The following is a 21,144-nucleotide window of genomic DNA, read 5'->3' on the forward strand; positions in this document are numbered from 1 at the left end:
TTACTTATCTCGATACATACGTTTATAAATAACGCTGGGGCCCAACCCTCACTCTAGTTTAGAGACCATTATATGTTTATTTTTCTAACATACCTCTCTCTGTGAAGAAGAAAGAAAAAAGTTCTTATTTGGACATAGTGATTTTCATAGCAAAGGAGAAATAACTATTCTCATTATTTTCTTAAATGTTTTTAGCTGTTTTATGACAGTTCTTATAGTTATTTTTGCGTACCATGAGATCAAGTAACTCTTTAATCATCTTGTAAATCATTCAATAAGAAACAAAACTCCACCAACCAATAAACTTCTGGACTGTCATATGTTCAGATCATAGAATGAAATGATATGCATTTTTGGAAACTTTTTAAAAAGCAAACCATTAATAGTTTTCCAAATGAAACTGCCTGCCATATATATTTATGTATAACTCCCCCCATGTCACTGTGAATCATATACAAATCATAGGTAATATAACAGAATGAATACTTAATTACACACTATCAAATATCATTAAATAATGACCATTCAGAACACTACATCTATTTACCACACATACCATGTTCATAGTAATATAGAAGGCCTGGTCCTTTTTCCCCATGTATCCAAATTAAACTGGTTTTCAGGGCTCATCCCAGATTCCACATGTTCACCAGTTCTAGTGGCCACTGGCCCTGACAAATGGCTTTCCCTTCTGTGATTTCTTTTTTTAAAATTTAATTTAATTTAATTTTAAGTTCTGGGATACATGTGCAGGATGTGCAGATTTGTTACATAGGTAAACATGTGCCATGATGGTTTGTTGAACCTATCAACCCATCACCTAAGTATTAAGCTCCACATGTATTAGCTATTTATCACAATGTTCTCCCTCCCTCAAGACAATCCTAAGCAAAAAGAACAAAGCTGGGGGTATCATGCTACCCAACTTCAAACTATACTACCAGGCTACAGTAATGAAAACAGTATGGTACTGGTACAGAAACAGACACATAGAGCAATGGAACAAAATAGAGATCTCAGAAATAAGACTGCACATCTACAACCATCTGATCTTCAACAAACCTGACAAAAACAAGCAATGGAGAAAGGATTCCCTACTTAGTAAATGGTGCTAGGAAAACTGGCTAGCCATATGCAGAAAATTGAAACTGGACCCCTTCCTTATATCTTATTCAAAAATTAACTCAATATGGATTAAAGACTTAAATGTAAAGCTTCTCTGTGCTTTCTATCTCAGGGACACTTCAGAGACTCACATGGGGAACTCCAGAGCACACAGCACTTTTCTGTTAGTGTGTCAACTGTCCCTGAAAACTTTTGGGGGAATTGTTGATATTATAACCTTTTCTCTGGTTATGTCTTGGGTCCTCAGCTGGATTTTCAGTTCTTAAAGGCAAGGATTATGCCTTACACTGGCTTAAGATTTGCACCTACAGACATTCAGTAAATAAGTGTTTGGTCTATTGAAAATCATTGTCGGCAGCCAAAGTAAGCATTAAATAGAGGATGTAGAAAATCATCAATATATTCTCTGTCTATGAAAAGCTTTGTATTGGGGGTTTGGTTTCTTAAACAGTATATATCCTAGATAGCCTGAACTCTTTAATGAATATGTTTACTTATTTTATGATTATGAAGATAATACTGGTGCCTATAACAATCCTATAGATTTTTGTGGGCTTTATGTGATATAACCCATGAGGAAAGCACTAAATTTACTGTACCCACTAAGTATTAGCCATTGTTATTATTGTTTTCAGGGTGCCTTCCTGATAGTCTGTTTTTATTAGTTTCTCAATATAATTTATCAACAGTTTGAATTTGTGTACAAGAGAGTATGGGTCCTTGGCACTTAACATTACTCATTTTATGATCTTCCAAAAGTATGAGTTTTCTAGTGGGTCTATGTTTACAACATCTCACTCTAAGTAAGAATCAGAAATAGCCAAATTGTATGTCTTAAGCATATTTCTATTGCCTGTAAATTTTTTTACTGTTTTTAATTTCAAATGGATAAAAATGTTTCTGCATTTGTTTTCTTTCCAGCCCCATTCATTCTATACATAGTTACCTTTCTTTTATTACACCTCTCCATTTATTTTCATATGAGAAGCATTTCCCAATACTTAGAGAAAAGTTCCACATGTAGAAATTTGCACTTTTGAAATAGTGGGTTGCTGTGTTAAATAAAACATATCTGTGTTTGAATTTTCTCAGTGGAGCCTCCTTGGTAATAGTGACCTGGAAAGGCTCCTTTGACTCCGGTCAAGAGTCTGAGATTCAGGCGTGGAGAGAGACCACTGCCCAACCTCAACATGAGCTTGATTTCTCAGACTCCTTTCCTTTTCCCACTGTGGGCCTGATGTTCTTCTCTATTTCGCTGGGATATTTTGGGGACAATATTCAGGCCCACTCTTTTGAGTTGGTGAGAACATGCCATCGGCTACCATGGTAAAAACCTAGTGTTTATTTGTACCCACGAGTTCTTGCTTGTCATTTTGGGTGCCTTCTGCTCTAGGAGACCAGAAGTAGGACATGGATTGTATAATAGATTTTAGCTGCTAAAAATGCATTCCTGCTTAACCTGTGCATACCCTAAATACTGCCTTTAAAAAGAAAGGTAAGACATAAAGCCAATGGGGCTATTTCCTTAAGGATCATGCCAAGCCATGTTAATGGCATATATCTCCCTGGCCTACGTCCTGAGAAGTTAGGAAGACTCATGTAGTCACCAGGGTGGTTCGAGAGAAACCAAGTAGTAACTGCAGAGCTGCCACGGCACGTACGTTTCTGTGAATTGTCAAGGCAACCCACCACCTACAGCTGGCATTATTTCTGTGTAAAGTAAGATAAAATTCTGGTTACAAAATGTATAAAATCAATAGAGAAAATAACTTAAGGGAAAGTTAGGTTTCAGTTACGTGTCTGAGTGTCACATGGTCCAGTGATTTTTCTTTTCTTTCCTTTTATTTATTTATTTTTTTTTCGAGACAGAGTCTCGCTCTGTCACCGAGGATGGAGTGCAGTGGCGTGATCTCGGCTTACTACAATCTCCGCCTCCAGGGTTCCAGCAATTCTCCTGCCTCAGCCTCCCAAGTAGCTGGAACTACAGGCATCCACCACCATGCCCAGCCAATTTTTTTTTTTTTGGATTTTTAATAGAGACGGAGTTTAACCGTGTTAGCCAGGATGGCCTCCATCTCCTGACCTCGTGATCCGCCCATCTTGGCCTCCCAAAGTGCTGAGGTTATAGGTGCGAGCCACCATGCCCGGCCAGTCCAGTGATTTTTCTGGATGACCATGAAACATTTGATGAGATGAATTTCACGTCAACCTGCCTGACCTTGGTAGTCCCAGATTAGACTCATCAATCAAACAATAGCATCTACTCTAAATACTCAGGTTCCTGGTGTTGGGTTTGCATTTGCACGTCTCTGCAAAATGGTGACAAACAAGGGGCCCGTCGGTGTGGTCCTGCTGATAGCATGACAGCTACTGTTACACAGTAATGCCTTTGAGATTGCTGTCCATGTGAAGATGCCAAACACGCAGTCAGCAAGTGTTAGAACTGGGACTCCCTCACTTTAAACAAGGGCACCGAGAGGCAGAAAACTGCAATCATTTGTTTCAAGTCATCTCCGAATTCTCTAGAGAGCTACCTAGGAGGAAGGTCTTCTCAATGCAGGGCTCCTTCATAGGGACTTTATGTCATTGTCTAGGTTGACTATGTGTGGAAAATCTCACTTAGAAAATTAAAAAAGACAAAAAATAAAAATAAAAAATGAAAAAATGTTTAATATTAGGTAAAAATATCCTCCTGGAAAGTAATGGAAAAATGAAGTTTCCCTGTGTCATGGGTCATTTTTAATATTTTGGAGAGTTAGTCAGAAACTTATAGCACATGTGCAACCTAGCTGATATAACCAAACCAGGCAGAGTAAAGTCTCTCTGACTCTTGGAAGAGACCAAAATAATCAGTAAAATGATTTTGTAATCATCCTCCTGACCGTGCCCTTAGTTAAAAATCTAAGAGCAGGTGCCAAGAGGGACTCTAATGCAAGCCAAAAAATTGGAGGCCATGTTGTTATAAGGGCCCAAGCCACATGCTCCCCAGTCAAAGGAGGAAGGGAAAGAGACTCGATCTTGTAGGAGGAAGGACGAGATGTGTGAAAATCGTTTACTGATTTTTTATTGATAGAGGCCGTTTTTGCAATGCTGACTGCCCAATCAGCAAGCCTCACACTTCAGTTATGCCTTTGAGGCTAAAATACATGATTCAATTTGCACATGTTGGATTTTGAAAATGTAAAGCATGAAATTTACACTATCATTGACTCTACTACTCCTTACACAACTTCTGCATCTAATCCTTGGAATGTTGATATTTACCATTTGGAATATGTATCTTAGGCTTAGTGTATTTTCTAACTAATTCCACATTTAATATACATATATTGAAATGTTAGGTAATAAAAATGAGATGTTACCTGTTGTCTCACAAATTTGCCTTTCCACTCTTACTAACCCCTAGGATCAGATACTGTTTTGATCATTAACTTTAAAACTAGATGAACAGGTGGCTTTGCCCATTTGTAAACAGGTGTGTTAACTTGTCCCTGGAGAGCAGATACATCATTTCTTGGCTGGCACCATGGATGTGGATCTCTTAGGAAAAAGGATTGTTTTTGAGCTAATATAATCCCAGGAACAGCATATTAGCTAAAAAAACACTTGGGCAGCAAAACTATCTCCATTCTTGTTCTCAGGACTGTGAAAAGAATTGCAAAACATCTTGGAAGATTCAGAATACAAATTCAGTGGAAAATTTCACATGTTAATTCAGTACCAAATGTGCCACATTAAACAAAGGACGAGTAAGAAATTGATCTGAAATTTATCTGAGCAAATTATTAAGATTTTATTTCCTATTATATACAAGAACCTAGCATCAACCAACCCTTCTCACTTTATATAATCTCAGAATTCCATTTTTAAGCAAAGACATGTGGCTTTTTGATGCCTGAGCTACTTAAATTTCCATACTCTGAGAGACTATAAAATGCTAATTCTAACCTAACTTGTCTTTTACAGGGAGTAATGGCAAAATTCTTAATTCTAAATAGGCAGGTATATGCAATCAGGTCTGACTCAAGGGAAATGTGGCAAATAGTCATTGGAATTGTCTGAAATACATGACCAGTTTCTAATTTGAATTCTCCTCTCCTCCTTGTTTTGATGTTTCTGCAGCCAATGGTGAGCCGGTGGATAACCAGGTTGGCAGCCCCTTTCAGCTGTCTGCACTGGGGCAGGACTGCTTATGTCACAGAGAAGGCAGAGACAAGTGAATATGACACAGGGGATCTTCCTGTTTGCTTGGAAGGTTGGCCCTCAGTCAATAACCTAGGGCTTCACCATGCCAAATCCAAAATGTTCTGTTGTTGATCTCTGGTATCAACAGCTCAGAAACTGCAGAACAGACCCCTGACAGTTACCAACACTTTCCTCCAAACAGCATTCTGTTTACTGTTTCATGTATTCTCAGGTAAGCAAAGGCTTGCTGCGTTGGAACTCTGCATAATGGAAGGGGACAGGGAACGTGTACTTAGAAACCATGATGGATGAGGGCTAACTATCCAGAACCTTCAAGAATGTGTGACTCTTGATTTTGTAAGAAGTCAATACACTGAAATCATACGTGCCGTTGAATAGAGAATATGGTGATACAATGCCATGCTGTTGAGTACTGAGTTTTGGAATGGTCACCTGGATTCCTGAAGTGCTGATTACCCAGGAAAGGGGCCTCAGGCTTCACTCAACTCTTCTTCTTAAGTCATAAGAATGCTTTAATCTATTTCAAAATGCATTCAAGAAAAGTAAACCTAGAAGTATTTATGATTACCCTTTATCAGAAATATGCATATATATATATATATATATGCACACACACACACACAAGTACACACATTACCTGACTTTTTGTGGGGCAGAAATTTGTTACTCAGTTCTATCTCATTTGGCTCTGCACATAGTAGGTACTCAATATATGCACATTGTATTAATTATTCAGTTATGGCACTAAGAGGGAAGGGAGGTGCTGACCTTAAGGGGTCTCGCCTTTTCTCTTCAGCATTGACTTTGATATTTTCTTTCTAGAAGAGGACAGTGAGGAGAGCCCCTGCCTGCCAACCATTGTTGCTAACTCCAGCTTGTCTGTCACTGAAAACTTTAAAATGCAGAATCTAAAAATAATTAATATATGTGCAAGTAGGTTCAGAGGGAAGGAGAACAAAAGGGAGAACTGCTACCCCAGTGGCTGGAAAGTCCCACTGGGGTGCAGACATAGTCCCCTGATCTTGAGCACTGAGTGTCTTCCCAGAGTGACGTGTAAAAGCCCCAGAGCCTCTGCCCTGGGGATGAGGGTCTTGGTGTTGGCAGTGTGTCAAGCCTCATCCATGGCTGTCTTTTTCCTACTTTCTTTAGTGTGCTTTGTCTTGCGAAAGTGCTCATACAGTAAGAGGATGAGAGGGATGGACAGGGTTAAATTCATGACATGGTGCTCATTCACACCACACTAGCCATAGGAACACTACAATTAGGCATAAAATTTTATTTCTGTGAAATATACTCTAAGTCCTAGAAAAAAAAAAAAGAAAAAAAAAGCCAGCAAAGAAAGGAATTTCCCTTGGAGGGTGGGGGAGACAAGCAAAAACCAGTTACTCTTGAAGAGAAACAGCACAACACTGTTAGAACAACTACCATCATTGACGCCAGCCTACAGGATATGAGGCCAAAAACAGGTTTGAATACAGAAAATACAAGTCATTATGACTTATCCTGTTGATCACTGAAAAATCAGAACCACTGAATAATACACCTAGTTTCTACATTTCCAAGTTATTTCCAAGTACAAGTGGTCTCTGTCTCATGAAGGAAGTCAGCAAGTCTATCTGTAGGAAAGGCTGGTTCACAGGAAGCCACAATCAGCTGCCATTAGCACATACAGCAGAACAGTTTCATTCTTGCCATCCCTTATAATCATTTCCCCCTCGCTCCTGCAACTGGTGATGAGCAACGCTTTCCACGACCCAGACAACAAACAGCTGGATGGATGCCAGGAGACCATACATCCGTGGTCTACCATGCCCTTTTTAATCAACTTCCTAATTAAAAAATGCCATGCTGGCATGAGGTATGAAGGGAGTAGGCTTGGAATATATTTTACAAAATAGCATCCCCTAATCCTGGGGTTGTTGAAAATCTGTGTTCTTACAGATGTTGATGAGTTCTTCTGGTGCAGAGATAGAATCAATTTGCCTGTGCCTGGCCCTCAAGACATATTAAATTTATCCTGGAGGAAACTGGATTCTGAAAAGCTCTTGCCCAGATGCATTAGGGCAGGTGGGAGTTTCAGAGAAGCACAGGGTCCACCGGCAGATGCGGCACTGATTTCCGAATGTTCACAATCTACCAGGCAGCTCCAGAGCAGACTCGGTTTGATGGCTCTCTATGGGGTGCCCTGCAGACTCGCTTATTTCTACAACCAGTCTGGCTAGCATTGTTTCATGGCGACAATGCTCTGTGCTTTCAGCTTCTGTTCAGATGGCACAGGCTGGTGGAATTCGTGCACCAGGGAGGGGAGGTTGGGCCGAATTTAAAGTAAGCCCTTAAGAATGGTTTATTGCTTTTAGGGTTCAGTGGTGTGGTAGCCCCTGGAGTCAAGAGGTGATGCCGACTTTTGAAAAACCATTCTGTTGAGGGCCATTAAAACACACTATGCATTTAGGTTGAGATAACGGCATGAAGGCACCACTCAGAACAGTGTTTGAGCTAGAAATCCTATAATGAAAATCTTTGTCAATGTACTAAAAAAAAAGACCCCCATAAATTATTAATTCATGAGTTGTTTGATTTAGAGTCCTAAACCTGACATTCCACACTTGAAAATTTCTCAAGCAAGTGCCCGATATCCTTGAGGTAATTTTCTTTAAAGAAATTGGAGTGTTCTATGTAAACAGTCAGACTTCAGTAAAAAGCAGTCAGTATGTAATATTGAGTCCTAAAGTTCTTTCAACTATATTAATGAGTGCACAAACACATCTAAAGCAGGTTTACATGGCACACATACTAACCCTATGGCTCAAATATTGTCAGCTTACACACATTTTCACACTGGCATTTAAAAAATACACATATACACGCACTCACAAAATCATGGAAGAGGGGAATTATAGTACTCCTAAGAGTGTGAAAATACATGACAGTACTGAATTTTAAAAGGAATAGAGTCAAATAACCTTTTGAATAAAAAATATTTACCTGTTTTTTTTTTTTCTTTCACAATCAGTGGAAACCCCACCAAAGCAATGCCCTCTATGGCTTCGGTGAGCAGAGCAGGCCCACTGAGACAGCAGACGCCCCACACTGTCCAATGTTGCCTACACAGGGTACTTAAGTCAAAGAGCACTTCATCTTTGGACTAATATCTTGGAATCACAACAATTGATTAAAAATTTTGCCATGAAAGGCTGCTTTTCTTTCCAAAGTTGACACTCAACCTTAAAGTGCAACTAGACAGGGAAAAATTCCCTTAGAAATCACCTTTTCAGACAGGTGCACATCACCCTGTTTCCAGTCCTGGGACCTTTCATTGTCTTTGCCCGTGAGCCTGCTCCACAGCCTGAGAACAAATGTGACGGAGAGTGGCACGCGGGGCTCCGTGAAGTGGAGACTAATATGACACAATTTTGACCCTAAAAAAAAAAAAACAAAATAGCTGGGCTCCACCTTTGAAGGCAGCCAGGCACAAAGAGCATCGTGGAGAAGGGGCTTTCAGGGATCTCTGCATAGAAATGCACAAGGTGAGGTTAAAAAGTAAATGCTGATATTTTGCCCCAAGAAAGTTATAAACCACCATCATAAAGCTAAAAGCAGCTATATTAATCATATAAAGCTTGGTTCAACTCTAAAATGAAATGTAGCAATGAGAAAATAATGGAACTATGACTTTATGACTTTTCTCTAGGTAAGATTTCATGAATCTGCTTGAAAACAATCTGATATTTAAAACTGCTTGAGTTAAATTTTTAAAAACTCAATTTTTTTCTTCATTCTAGTTTACCAGCAAATTTAAAAATGAAATAGAAAAAGAAATGTGTCTGTGTGTATAAACACACACACATTGAAAAAACAATAGATAATTTACCTATTATGCAGAAAAAGCTCAATGTGAGTACTAAGAAACTTGCAGAATGAGAGGGAAAATGATCAAAAGCAAGTTTCAGCAGCTTCACATGAAGGGTTAATATGTTTTTAAATATCTTGTGTTTGAGGTTTAGATTCATTAAAGGTGGTTTCTTTCTTTTTTGAAAAGATATATTTTTTTAAACAGAAAATTTTCCCCTCCCCCCAAAAGTTGTATTTTCTGTCAAATATTCACTGTTATTGTTTAAAGCAAACAGCTAAAGTAAAGCAACTCTTTAGAAAAAAAGCTTAAAATGAAAGCAAAATAAAATCAAGTGATCTAAAATATTCAGGAATCTATAAAAAGACAGTTAAAGAATAACAATTTCTACTTGAGTTCTACCTAAAAAGCAGGTGAAATAATTAGGTCAGTTAAAATGAAAAACCTTGCCTTTTCGGGAGAATAGGAATTATTAAAACAGGATAGAACTATTTATCAGTGAATTCCTACCATGGAAGTATAATTAACTAAATATTAAAACACCCATATTGCAGTAGTACAGTCACAGAATTATATAAGAAATGTGTCACTGATGACAATAGAAAATTAGGATTCCAGCAGGCTCTTTATTCTTACTTCTCAACTCAGAAGACTGATTTGCAAAAATGATCTCCATTTTTCTGAAAAGAACTCAGAGTATCACTGTGTGCTAATTTCCACATTTCCTAGTTGTAGATTCTACAGATCAATAGAAACTTCAGTTCAATTTTCACAATCTCCAGTAAGTTGCTGGTTAAATTAGCTAAAATCATCTTCCAGCTAGGAAAAATACATACTAGTCAAAACTAATTATGTCTGGGCTTTAATTGAAACAACATTTGCTAATTTTGCTGGTCTCGATGCACGGTTTCAGAAAATATTAATTAAACACATTGAATAATGGCTGCTGTAAGTTTCTAAAAACAGTCATCTCTAAACAGTTAATTTCCACTTCAGGCACATGCACACGAAGACGGATCAAGCCGCTACCCCAAACCGGCAGCAAATGACTATTCTTTTGTTACTGACCATCAGGAGTTCAACTTTGCTCCACTTTGGGAAGTGGAACAAATGCTCTGGTGAAGACAGGGAGCACAGGACATATTTACCTGGAGGGGATATCAAAGAGCAGCCTCAAGACTTGCAAAACAAAGTCGTCCCAATGAATTATCTGTGCCTACAGCCGCACTTGGCACCTTCGGCTAAGCCAGCGTCTGACAAGCAGTTGTTCCCACGGCAGCCACCCCTGCCTTCCATCTTAGGGACTCACCCAGAAAATTCTCCAACCTGCTCCACGACTACAAAACTCTTCTAATGCTTTTGAACGCCCACCATTTGTTCTCCATTCATCCAATCAACTTTCCACTGCACATCTTCTCTCTCTACCGGCGCCCAGGCAAGGGGCCACTTCTCATCTGTATGCTAATTATTTTGCCACATGGACAAAAGTAATAATGCTTTCAGACAGGAAACTAACAGGCCTGAAGTCGAAGATGGAAATTAATAAGTTGACACCACTAAACGACAGGGAAGACGGGCATGCGTACAGCGCTCTGCCGGGCGGGTGAAGTGCAGCCTCCATCAAAAGGCAGCAGACAGACAGCGCCGGGCTGCGAGTCCCGCCTGTGCTGCGTGCATCAGGCTCACGCTCCCTTAGAGACCACATCGCTGCAGCAGAAGAGCCTCGGAAGCATCCTGCTGACTTACCCTGTCTCAGGCTGCCTCCTTGAAGCAACACAAAACATATCCACTTCCCCAAATCCTAAGGTGGGAGGGAACTTCACTGCTGATCTAGATATTTTTCAAGCTACAGCTGTGGATTAAACCAGTAATTTCTAACCTTCCTGTGTATCAAGCTTGCAACACAGTCAGACACGAGTGGAGATGTGTGCAGTATGCTGCTTGCCTTGTACCCACAGGCCCCTAAATCTCTAGAGCAGAATGTGTATCATGAGCAGTGCTGTATTTAATGTAATAGATGAGAACTGTAAATACCGGAGTCAGGCTGTTAGCAGCTACCAGCTAGGCAATATATCTAAAAATATCTCTCGTATCATTGATGTTATGGTAAATTCATGCTGTGGCCAAAGAAACCTCACAGAAGTAAGCTGAACCTACAGTATTTTAGATGGCATTGCTGGTTAACATCCAAGCAAAACAAAAAGAGGTTCCAAAACCTGTCACTTCTTAAAATAAAAGAATGGTGACACAAGAGTTAACTCTAACCAATTCTTAAAATCGTTTTCGGGTTGCCAACCTCACTATATTATTCTGTTTCAGTATGAGCTTCTTGCATCGTTTTCTTTTAAAACAAAAGCTATGAAACTACTTGTCTAAGAAAGTTAAAACATTTTTCACCTTTTATTATTGTTTGAAGAAAAAAATATAGAAAAAGTTTTCTTTGAAAAGACAAGTCCTAATATGGTTTTTAAAATAGCTAAGGGAACATAGATACCTGATGTTCATTAGCATTTTTTTCTGGCTTAAAAAAGTGCTGATTTTATAAATGGCTTCTTGAGTCAAGCCACAGATGTTTTACTCTGGTGGTGACCATACCGTTTCACTCTCTGCAAACCTCTCTCCTATAACACTCACCGCTATGAAAGGCTACGTTAAATCATAAAGGCTACTTTAGCACCTCCCACCCTCGCCCCAGGAAACTAGCCTTGAATACACAGACTCATGTTTAACAACAACTCCGGGCAGCATGCAGACATAGCAGTGCCCACAATGGCATTACACTGAAGGAGAAGCTCTTTTGAGAGAGGGTCCATTGTTGGCGCGTTCACACGCCTAACCAAGAGACTTTAGGAAGTGTTGTGTATGCAATCAAATGAGAGCTGGAGATAGGCAGGCAGGTGGAGAAACAACTATTTTTGAAGTACTTAAGAGAAGAACTGGGAGCTGCAACCACCAGGCAAATTAAGAAAAAAAGAAATCCTATGTAACCTTTACAATAAAAGGAAAGAGGTACCTTTTTGTGGAAGAGCTGGTGGCCATCAAGCCAAATCCTGTTCCGCAGTCTGCTTCTCACCCACGCAGGGCTCTGTCTGCCGTGGAGAGACCATCGCACGTGCTGGTCACAGTTCCCTCTGTGTTTCCATTCCATTCACCCCTACCCTCTGGCGCCCGCACTCCACCAGCCCACTATCCACAGTGAGTGAGAGTCGAGAGCAGAACAGCACGAGGGAGCAGCCACTGCAGGCTTTCCACAGAGCACAGCTCTGACTGTGGTTTCCGTGGGGAGACTGACAGAGAAGCCCCAAGTTACCAGGAACACCCTCTTCCAGCTCTCAGAGGTAATTCCTCTGAAGACCGAGCTCTTCCCTGATGTGTTGGGACCAGACTTACTGGTTACTATAGAGGCTGCAATTCCCTTCCCATCGAGCCCTGCTAGACACCACTGCAGTCTGAAAGCAAGGAAAGCTTTAAGAGAATGTCCTGTACCATTCCATCTTCTCACAACACAATACTCCTTACAGTAAGACTAAAATATTCCCCCCCGCCAACTTTTCCAATAATCACCACGTGGGGAGCAGAGATTATTTTAAAAGAGGTACATGGTAGGAAAATTTTCCTAGCAGAACAGCCTAATACAGCAATGCTTATCACTCTTTCTCTATCTAATAAATAAGCATTCATGCATTCTTTCTAGTTTTATAACACCTGGCTTACATTTTCTCTGCCATCTCTGATTACTTCTACAGATACCCTGAGGACTCATTATGATGTCAAAGCCAAAAACACTTCCATTGTAGAAACATGCATAGAAAAATCACTGTGTATGCTTGAACAATGCAGGTGTGAAAGAAACACAGAGAGAAGAGAGGGTGGCAAAACAGACAAACAGGGACCAAGTTAAAGAGAGAGGGGGCAGAAGAGAGAGAAAGGAAAGTGGAGAGAAAGAGAGAGAAGAGACAAGACACAAAGATATTACAAACAGAACCACATTGCATTGAAATAGCCCACTGATGGAAAAAATGGATAGCTGTTGCCTTTAAATAATCTAATATCAGAAAAAATCATGCAATAAAATACTATAAAAGTAGAATATTTGTATTATTTCATATGAGTTATGGTCACTATAGGCAATATTTTAAATATTGGGGTGGTATGTCAATTTAAAATATCTTTTTCATACCAGCAACCATGATATGTAGATATGACACTGCCCCCAACCACACACACACAAACACAAACCTACATCTATTTACTTCTTCAAGTTTGTGGTATCTTTTGTCTTCAGTTTTGTTTGGAAGAAATGCAGATCAATGTCAGGTGTTGTGTTGTGGTACAGAATACAGTATGATGAAACTTAGCTTGGTGAAAAATATGTTATTTGCAAGTTTTTGTTCAAGTTTATCCTCAGTTACTCCTTTCTAAAGAATACTACACAACTTTTCAAATAAAAAAGAAGATATTCAAAAAAAGAACTCTTAAAAACTTGAAATAGGAAAATGCATAACATCATTGCGCTCAAATTACGCTATGGAGTAATTAGATTATAAAAATTTACCAAAACTGTAGATCTCTCTTTCTGAGTCTACCATTCATTTGCCTCCTGAACAGAGTTCTGGTGAGACTTTGCATCAAGGTAGACTTCCTGGCAAAGGACAACATGCATTGGAAACACTGGTTATTGATTGAAAATTATAGCCCTGGTCTAAAAGGGACACCCAGCCAAACCAAACTGTAAGTGCAAAGCAGAGTGGTCATTATCAAAGAGCATCTGACTAGTCCCTCTAATTCCACAGAGGAGTTTTTTTTAATATAAAATATTTAAGGGTAAATAAACCTTTAAGTTGTTTGAAGTTAAAATGTATCCACTAAAATATATAACAAGTAAACAAAGTCTTTCAGATTGTATATTATGTATTTCTAAAATAATGTCTCTCCCTCAAATTAAATTGGCTTACAGGTAGAGTTGGAAATCTAGTTTATGCATGTGACTTTGAAAACATTATTTACTTGACAAAATTAATTTTTCACAGAGAAGTAATTGGCTTTTAAAAATTATAAATGTAAAGTATTTATAAAAGCAGCTGAACAAATAATCAGATTATTAACTCAATTTTTTAATTTTAAGTATAATTGTAACAAATAGAAAAACTTTACAAATCTTTGAAATTGCATAATCACTTATTTCTTTTCCCTAATCTATTAAACATTGACACAGAAAGCAGACAGAAAACATCAGACAGTGAAATAATTGGGTATATTCAAGAGTAAGGTACAAAATAGAAACATTTTCAAGAGAGTAAAAAATAAATAAATAAATTAGGTGAAAAACATAACAGGGACAGTGAAAACAGCATATTAAAGAAGTCTCATTCTCTGAAACTATCCACATAGTCCTAAGGTCATGCTTTGACAGCTTTTATAACCCCGAAGAAGACTAGGTACTCATATTCCTTTAATAATTTTTGTACACCACTCATATGTGGTCACAAATCATTGGGCCTTTACCTTGATCTCAGCTTCTAACACAAATTTGTGAAATTGGCATAAGTTCTGCTGTTGGATGCAAGTTTAACTCAAGAGAAGTTGAAATTTGTGTGTCATGCATACTTTCTACCTTACTGTGACACCAGATAGTCCTGGTGCATCTTTTCAAAGATGAATTTTATTAATAATTACATGTATTTGGATAAAATTTTCCAGTTGAAAAGTAATAATGTTTACAATTTTCCAACCCACAACTATACATATATACAAGTAATTTTTAACATATTGATATGTTTGAATATTTGGAAATAGAGTAAAATATGTGTATAATGGCAGATGGAAAGTCTTTACTAAATAAAAATGTTCAAGTATAGATATCTTTGCTGCCACCATCTTCAAAACATCCAAATGTGACCATGAAGGCTTCTCCTACTTCTACCTCAACTAGCACAATCATTAAGGTGATGAAAGTGAGCCATTTTCACATTGCCAATAAACTAGGAGGAAGTCAGTCACTGTTGAATGCAATCGCTATCAGCTGCGGACAGCTCCTGGTGCTGAAAGGGAAGGCAGAGAAGCCTGCTCACAATAGCTCACTCCACCAGCCTTTGAAAAATCACAGCAAAACTGAATGAGGTGGCAAGTGCTCAGCCTGAATAGCACTGTCTACAGAACAATGGCAGCCAACTCTAAATCCTACTATAATCACATTAATGAGATTAATCAGTGAATTAGCAGCAGTCAAATGTCAGGGAGGCAAGGAAGAATCCAACCAAGATTGGTAATTAACTTTTTGTGGGTGGGGGTGGGGAGGAGAGAAAAATCAACTGTGCTATCTCATAGGTTTTTTTAGATGTTGATAATTTTGATTCACGAATCTGAAGACTATATGTACAGATCAAAAGACAACAACATAATCCTTCATATTATAATATAGATCCAGATCTCATATTACTGATTCTTATAGTCCTCTGAGAAAGCTGATGTCACTTTAAATAATCTTCATAATCTATCAGAATTTTATTGTTTTAAATTCTTTAAATGCACAATTAATATTTAAAATAAACTTATTTCTCTGAAAATCAAGCTAAAATATAAAGAAATATGGCTGATTAAAAGCAGAAGGATTATATAACAACTGTTATTGTTTATGAAAAGTGTATGATAGTATGGTAAGAGTTTTCAAAGTGCAATCAAGTAAAGTACCATCACACACACACATCAGTAGTGGTCTATGTTAGTTAATAAAGAAAATTTATCACTCAAGTATAACTTTAAGGAGACTTTTAAGCAATTAACTTACTGCATTTGAGGTGATAGAATCATACATGTTCTTTTAGGTCAATCAGAAAAAACAAACTTCCTTTTTTTCTGGAATGTTTCTCTTAGTAGCATTTATAACTTACAATCAACACTTTGGATTCAAAGTTCTTGAGAGGTGAAAACTTATAGGAATGCAATGCTGTTTTTTTTTTTGAAAAGGAATATTTTATAAAACTCTTTTCTTTTAAAAATAATTACATTTTTATCTGTATGGGAGACATGACTTTATTATTTTTAAAGCTACATGACACTAAATGAAGATGAACAATTAGAAAGACCCTCATATGCCAGTAAGGGTGGTTTTGGGATGCTTTGGTCTATGACGTTAATTTTGTTTAGTAGAAAATATAAACATTTGAACAAAAAGGCTCTTATATAAAATAGTTTTACTCTAAGTAACTTAGAAATTATTTAGCTTATATAGCTTTGATGGTACAAGAAATTGTCATGGTTAATACTAAATTCAAAATCTGTTCTCTATATTTTATATAGCTAACTTTCATATAAATATTTACATATATATTTTTGCTTTATTCAGATCTATCTTAAAACTAAAGTGTAGAGTTTAATCTTTTAGTTTATTAATTTAGGTGTTACAAAAAGACATATTTCTGTTATAAATAACATTTTCTTTCATTATTATGAACTTCAAACATTTAAGTTAAATTTAAAAATCTTTATTTGAGTTTCTCCACTTAAACAATATAAATCAACTTTCTTCTTACCATCAGGTAAATTCATCCAAAATAGCTAACATTTTAATTGCCTTTGCATAAAATGATGTGCTTCATTTGTAATGTAAAGTAATCCAGTAAAGTCTCTGGGAAGTTTTTGTTTCAGTATCCTCTTATCCTCCAAACACCATACATGCACCCCGTTTTGTTTTTGTTTCTTTTTTTCTTAATAAACAACATCACAGTTAAGTCATGCAACCTAATACCCATTTTAGTTTAAAGACAGATTTTTTTGTGGATTACAAAGCCTCCAGTCCAGGAACATTTCAGCTACCAGCCATGCTGTAAAAATAACTTTAAAAAGGAGCAGACAATGGAATAGCAGCCTCAGCCCTTGAGCTACGGTAAAACACATCCTGCTCACTAAGTTCCCCGAAAAATTAACCTAACGAACATCACGTACCTCACAATGACCACAACCGCTCACAAGCGAAAGACAAGTTCAATTTTGGTAACTGTGCTGGCTCAAAATACACAGACAGGGAAGAAAACCCTGTTCCACCACAAGTTTGAAAGGATGATGAGACACATGCATGCCACCAAGACGCAGAAAAGGTGGCTTTTTGTCTTCAGTGAGTATGGATATCATAACCCATAGTCCAGGGAATGAAAAAATTAAAATGCACCCACCAACAATGAGCAAAAAACCCGGGGTGCTTCAACAAGACTGCAGGGAAAAGCTCTCTCACTGTTTAGTGTGCAGTAGCTTAGGGAAAAAAAAAATGTCGCCCGGGCAGGAATGACAAATGCAGCGCGATAGGCTCGCAGGCCTCAGGGATCTGTTTGACTTCCACACACCCCCATGCACACGCTCCCACTCATCCTCTCCTAGGCTTTTTTTTTTTTCCACATTTTTTTTTCACAAGCTCCAAATCCCCGGCATATGACCTTCTGTTAAATAGATAAAAAAAAAAATTGCTTATCAGTCATGCAAATGAGGCTGAATTCATTTTCCACAACAGATGGCCTCATAGATAATGATGATGGAAGAGAGAAAATTGAATGTCTCTCACAAGGTGGCCATGGCAACCGAGAGCAGAATAATATCAATAATAAACTCACTGCATAATAAGGTTGTCAGTCCTACAAATCAAAGTCTCCAGCTAAATCAGGTATACCACCCCAGCTAGTTACCAGGTAAATAGTACACACACACACACACACACACACACACACACACACTTCCACAGAGTGGCTTGAAATCTTTCATGGTCACTGTAAAATGTGTACGTGTGTGTGTCTGTTGGTGGCAAGAAGGGGTTGGGGGAGAGAATAGTTGGATAATGAAATGACAATGTGACTTTTTTCTTTTCCTTTCCTTTCATTATGTTTTCTGCAATAGACTCGGTTTCATGCAGGACCTTCTAACTAGCCATATTGAAATCGGGATGCGGTGCTGAAGGCTTTCTCTCCTCCCTCTGCCTCCGCGCTCTCGCTCTGATGTGCTGCATTGATGCAATAGCAGCTCGCCTCAGGCTTCCACCTTGGCTCCCAGGGGGACATCCTGCAAAATGAATCAGCAGCCATCCTGAGCAGGCTGATTAAAATGAAAATGGCAAGGCACATGTCTGGGCGGAACTGGAGCTCAGCTTTGCTGCTTGTCTGGCAAGCATGCTCAATATAGCTCTTGCTAATAATGGCTTACTGCCTTTCATTTTTTAAAAAGGTATCACCCTTTTCCCCCTTCACTGACTGGTGTTGTCTGTGTGTGTGTGTGTGGTGTGTGTGTGTGTGTGCACGTATGTGTGCGTGCATGTCGCGGGGGGAAACGAGAATGGATGGTTCTATTCTTCTAATTTTCTGCTGCTCACATGCAGACTGCCTGCCTGACAGCACCATTATTTTAACACTGAACTTACTTCAGCTTTTCTTTTGGGACAGGGTGGGGGGGCGGTTGATAAGTCTTGGGGCAGAAGGGCTAGTTTTAAAATCAAGCTGCCTAAAAGGCCCAGACAAGATTTTTACACTCCAGATTCAATAATTTCTAACCAAATCTGAAGCAACAGACCTCGAGAGAACTCCGATGCTCTGCTTCACAGGCTCACAGTTGGACATGCTGAAACACAGCCTATGAAGAAACCTATTTCTGTTTCGAGCATTTGCAACCAGCCTGTTACTGTATCCTAGATATTATGCAACACAGAGAATTAAAACAGAGAAAGCTACTAGCTAATAAAATAATCGAACACAATTGAAAAAATAAATCTTGGATATTTTGTTGTTTAAAATTCTCAGGCATAGCTTCAAGATTGCCCTCAAATAAGCTTTACTTTGCAGCACCTCTGCCGAGTATTCCAGGGTTTTTCAAGGCATTCTGGAAATTAGACCATTATCACCTCTCAAAAAAATGGTTGAAAAATTAGAACGAATAATTTTTCTAAACTCATTTTACTCTACTTCTCCTATACATCTTATTCTATGTTATAAACAGTCTTTAAATTTTGCTAAATTGTCAGTTTTGCTTTCCTTTGGTAACAGATGCTTGATTTTTGTATAAAACTATCTATCTACTTATTTTTGTCTTTGTAATTCCTGTTTCTGAGACGTGATTTTTTTTTCTTCTGAGCTCTAGCCCTGTTGCTGCAGTGTGAATCAGAAATCAATAGCGCTGCCCTAATGGAGACTCCACTCGGCACGCGGCAAGGCAGCTGCAGTCTCCTCTCTCTCTTTCTCTCTCTCTCTTGCACACACACACACACACACACACACGGAACTAATGACGTCTGTGCAGCTTTTTCAGCTGATTGGGCACCACATCGGATGTTCTGTGGAGCAAAGAATAGGAGTCATTTACAGTCGGCGGAAAAAAAATGGGAGCATATATCCTTCTGTGTGTAAGACACTGATCCTGAGCTCCCCAGGCAAGCAGCATGTGGGTAAGGACGGTTCTTCGTGTTGTGGTCACCACGGGGTAAAGAGCGCCTCCAAAATGATTATAGAACTGGAACTGCAGTACAGTGGGAGTATTTGTCCATTTTGTAAAGGACAAAGCATTCCTCTAAAAAAAAAGTGAGCACAATAAAATTCCCACGCAAATGCGAGTGTTTAGGTCAAATCGTGACCTCCTGGGTATTATTTAGGCGTTTACATATACATTATATTATTACTTCCAAGGAATTCCAAATGTACTTAAAAAAATAAAGTTCAAATTAAATGAATATATATGTATGTACACACACATATATACACACATATTCATGTAATCATTCCCTATGAGTTTATCATAGTTGTGTTAATAATAAATTCTTAGTTAAAATTCACCCCCACATACCTTACCTTACATTAAGAAGAAAGAAATCTGTAAATAATACTGACACAATATTTTAAATCACAGATTTATACATGTATATGTTTTTCTTACACATTTGTGCATGTCTATGAAAACAGAATGTATATTTGATATGGGGCACCTGCACACACACACGCAGGCACAATATTCTTTCAACAGCTTTGGTTACCTTAAGCTGTAGGTGTAACTCACTGCAATGACAGGCTGCTGTGTTGATAAGCATAGTATCTAATGTTTTACCCTTAAGGTAAGGCATCCCTGGACCCAGCAGCATTAAAGAACACGTCTTCCCTTACCACACTGTCACTGCATTTCATTCAACCTCATCGTGTTGACAACAACTGCCCCAGCCTGAATCGGGCTCCAGTGAAGCATTTGTATTCTTTCCACCCATTCTCTGCATGACTTTTAGAGCTGAGATACCAGCCCTCAAATGGCTCAAGAGAAGAGGAAAAATGAATGAATCATGAAGCCACAGAGCCACAGCAGAGCAACACTGCAGTCTGCATTTTGCAGTTACATTGTAGCTCACTTGATACAGTATGATTTCTTCAAAAATGATATCGAGTACTCTGCAGTAAGGTACCATAAAATCCTTTATGATGTAGAAGAACTGGGGAATACTCAAATGACCATTTAGATTAAAAATCTGTAGTTTGCGATTAAACCGTATAACCAAATGTTTTGTCTCTAAGTATCTGTCACCTGCCTCCTTAAATTATTTCTAATATATTTTGTACTTCATGTATTAGTTTATTCCACATGTTAAAGCCCTTGGTATTAGGAAATACATATGTCATTAATTTTGTTTATTTATGTATGTATTTATTTATTTGTAAGAGAAAAGAAATTGGAACATATTGCCACTTCTAATGGGTATGTCCTCCAATTTAGTACAAAGAAAAAAAGCCCATATAATTTTTTGTGTGGAAATACACACAAGTTATAACCTAGGATGTATTTCCAACTGTAGGATACATATGCTGATCACTTTAACAAACGATAGATTGATCTCTCATAGTATAGAAAGTTCAATCTCTTTCCTTTCTGTTCTCTGGACTCTGGTCTCATCATGAGACCAGAAACAAAAAGGAGCCGTGACGTTTCTTCAGGTGCCATGTTGCACACCAGGT

At 38.3% G+C, this 21,144-nt stretch overlaps 1 protein-coding gene and 1 long non-coding RNA gene across 32 annotated transcripts in view; one reads left to right on the forward strand and one right to left on the reverse strand.

The window, feature by feature from the left end:
- MYT1L (myelin transcription factor 1 like) overlaps positions 1–17,434 on the reverse strand; it is a 542,163-nt gene extending 524,729 nt beyond the window's left edge. For 16 of the 31 annotated variants that reach the window (NM_015025.4, NM_001303052.2, XM_011510326.2 and 13 more), the window contains exon 1: positions 17,126–17,434. The gene's annotated coding sequence lies outside the window, so the exon portion shown is untranslated. Of the gene's footprint in view, positions 1–10,329; positions 10,849–10,927; positions 11,121–12,194; positions 12,471–17,125 lie in introns of those variants that run through there. The other 15 variants (NM_001329847.2, XM_017003612.2, XM_017003606.2 and 12 more) reach the window with 6 other exon arrangements.
- On the forward strand, positions 5,391–13,267 carry MYT1L-AS1 (MYT1L antisense RNA 1). The gene is made up of 2 exons (NR_024468.1): positions 5,391–5,542; positions 10,178–13,267. It is a non-coding gene; the product is annotated as an MYT1L antisense RNA 1 (long non-coding RNA).

This window comes from Homo sapiens, chromosome 2, assembly GCF_000001405.40.
Source record: "Homo sapiens chromosome 2, GRCh38.p14 Primary Assembly".
Taxonomy (NCBI): Eukaryota; Metazoa; Chordata; class Mammalia; order Primates; family Hominidae; genus Homo; species Homo sapiens.